The sequence below is a fragment of the Homo sapiens genome, chromosome 9 (assembly GCF_000001405.40).
Source record: "Homo sapiens chromosome 9, GRCh38.p14 Primary Assembly".
In the NCBI taxonomy this organism is placed as follows: domain Eukaryota; kingdom Metazoa; phylum Chordata; class Mammalia; order Primates; family Hominidae; genus Homo; species Homo sapiens.
The window spans coordinates 63,383,983-63,386,891 of NC_000009.12; the positions used below are offsets into that span (position 1 = coordinate 63,383,983).

Sequence of the window (2,909 nt, forward strand, 5' to 3'; positions counted from 1 at the left end):
GTGACTAAAACACTGCTGTCAATCTCATCCATCCACGCCAGGTGTCGTGTTCAGCCATCTCCTACACTTTAGGGCAGGGACCCCTTCTTCACCAATGGGGTGAAAAGGAAGTGACCATAACAACTGCTTAGTGACAAAAGGATTGACCCACCAAGAAGACATCTACTTCAACATCCTCCTCTTAGCAACTATTAAAACTAGGCAGAGGCCGGGCACAGCGGCTCATGCCTGTAATCCCAGAACTCTGGGAGGCAAAGACAAAGGATAGCTTGAGGCCAGGAGTTCGAGCCTGGGCAACATAGCAAGGCCTCATCTCTCCAAAAAATTTTAAATTTAGCCAGGTGTGCCGGCACACACCTATAGTACCAGCTACTCAGGAGGTTAAGCCAGGGGAAGTACTTGACCCTAGGAAGTCAAGGCTGCAGTGAGTCATGTTCGTGCCACCGCACTCCAGTGTAAGTGACAGAGTGAAACTAGGCAGAAAAGGAGCAAGGATTGACAAAAGATCTGAACAGTCAACCAGCAAAATGTGACATCCGTATAACACCCCACTCCCCAACAGCAAAACACACACATTTTTAAAGCCAATAGAAATCTACCAAGATGAAGTACACTTGGGGCAATAAAAGAAATCACAGCAAATCTTGCTGTGCGCCCCTCTGCCCTGGCGCCGGCGCCGTGCCCCTCTCTGCGCCTTCTTTTCTCACCATGGGGAAGCGTTTGGGGGCCTCTTGAGGGACCCCCTAGATGCTTCTACTCAGAGCCCCCAAAGCCGGGGAGCCTCCACTCCTCTGTCTGCAGCCTCCCCTGTCGGTTCTCGCTACCCAGGGTTCAGTGGCCTGGGGGCTGATGGAGGTGGTCGCCTCTGCCAAGGACCCTCCCGGCACCTCCCTGGCTCATCCAGCCCACCTTCCTCCCACGCTGGCTCACGCAAAGTGCTCTGGTCACCAGGAGCCCTTCCTGACCAGCCCCGGCCCCTTCTTGGCCTTCGCCCACCTGGCCTCCCCTGGAGCCCTGACCGGGGTGCCGGGCCTGCTGGGTCCAGAGCCCACCCCGCCCTGAACAACCCCGAGTCTCAGCCACCCTCAGCTCTTACCCTTTCACAGCTGGGGAGTGGAGCCTGGGCCTGCGCCTCTCCGCGCCTGCGCCGCCGCTGTGCGCCTCGCCGCCGCTGTGCGCCTCTCCGCCGCTGTGCGCCTCTCCGCCGCTGTCCGCCTCTCCGCCGCTGTCCGCCTCTCCGCCGCGCCGCCGCCGACCGCCTCGCCGCCGCCGCCCGCCTCGCCGCCGCCGCCCGCCTCTCCGCCGCGCCGCCGCCGCCCGCCTCTCCGCCGCGCCGCCGCCGCCCGCCTCTCCGCCGCGCCGCCGCCGCCCGCCTCTCCGCCGCGCCGCCGCCGCCCGCCTCTCCGCCGCGCCGCCGCCGCCCGCCTCTCCGCCGCGCCGCCGCCGCCCGCCTCTCCGCCGCGCCGCCGCCGACCGCCTCTCCGCCGCGCCGCCGCCGACCGCCTCTCCGCCGCTGTCCGCTTCTCCGCCACGCCGGCACCGGCGCTGTGTGCCTTTGCAAGGGCGGAGCTGCGTTCTCCTCGGCACAGACCCGGAGAGCATTGCGAGGGCGGAGCTGCGTTCTGCTCTGCATAGACCTTGGGGCACAGCCTCGCTTTGGGACAACTCGGGGCCGCATCGACGGTGAATAAAATCCTTCCTGTTTGCCATGTTTGTGGTTGGTGGCAGCGATGGACACTGCAGCCAGCCAGAGTGTAGAAAGGCATTGGGGTAAGTGCGCCATCCAGGCTGCACTGCTGGTGGCCTGGGACGGGTTGGGAGCCCTATCTCAGGCGTCACTGCCCGTCTTGGGTGGTTGGTTGGGTGTGCTATCTGGGGCTGTGCTGCCTGCACCGGGGGCGGGGGGCGGTTTGGGGGCTCAAACCGGGGCTGCACTGCCTTTGGCGGGGAGCCGGTTGGGGGCACTATCCCAGACTGTATTGCTGGCAACAGTGAGGTGGGTTAAGTGTGCTATCTGGGGCTGCACTGTGCGGCTGTGGGGGGGGGTGGCGGTTTTGGGTTGAGGGCGCTATGGGCTGCTGTAATGCCCATGGTGCGGGGAGGCGGGGCGGTTAGGGTATGTTGGGTGTGCTATTTGCGGGGGGCGACACTGCTGGTGGTAGGGGGCAGGGTGGGTTGGGGGCCATATCAGGGGCTGCACTGATTGCTTTAGCTAGGATTTCTGGTACTATGTTAAACAACAGTGGTGACAGGGGGCATCCTTATCATGTTCCAGATCTTAGAGGAAAAGCTTTCCATTTTTCCCCATTCCATATGATTCTAGCTGTGGGTGTCTTTCCTGTAGTTTTTATTATGTTGCGGTATGTTTCTTCTGTGCCTGTTTCTTTGAGGATTTATAGCATGAAGGGATGTTGAATTTCATCACATGCTTTTTTGGTTTCAGTTGACATGATCATACGGTTTTTGTCGTTTATTTGGTTGATATGATGTATCACATTGTATGTTGAGTGACTCTTGCATTCCAGGGATACATCCCAGTTGATCATGATGAATTATCTTTTTAATGTATTACTGAATTTGATTCACTGGTATTCTGTTGAGGATTTTTGCATCAATATTAGAGATCCTGTCCTGTAGTTTTCTTCTTTGATGCTTTTATCTGATTTTCGTATCACAGTAATAATGGTCTCATAGAATAAGTTTGGAAGTATTCCCTCCTGTTTTTCAAAATAATTTGAGCAGGATTTGTACTAGGTCTTTAAATTGTTTGGTGTGAAGCCATCAGCAGTGAAGACATCATCAGTTCCTGGGCTTTTCTTTACTGGGAGACTTTTTCTGATGGCTTCAATCTCATTACTTGTTACCAATCTGTTCTGGTCTTGGATGTTTTCATTGTTTAACCTAAGTAG

General features: G+C 57.3%; 1 annotated feature.

Moving 5' to 3' along the window:
• Positions 361–561: a silencer, noted in NCBI's record as "peak7251 fragment used in MPRA reporter construct". NCBI's record gives its function as "represses an SCP1 promoter by STARR-seq MPRAs in K562 erythroleukemia cells {active_cell/tissue: K562}" and the evidence as "EXISTENCE:reporter gene assay evidence [ECO:0000049][PMID:32103011]".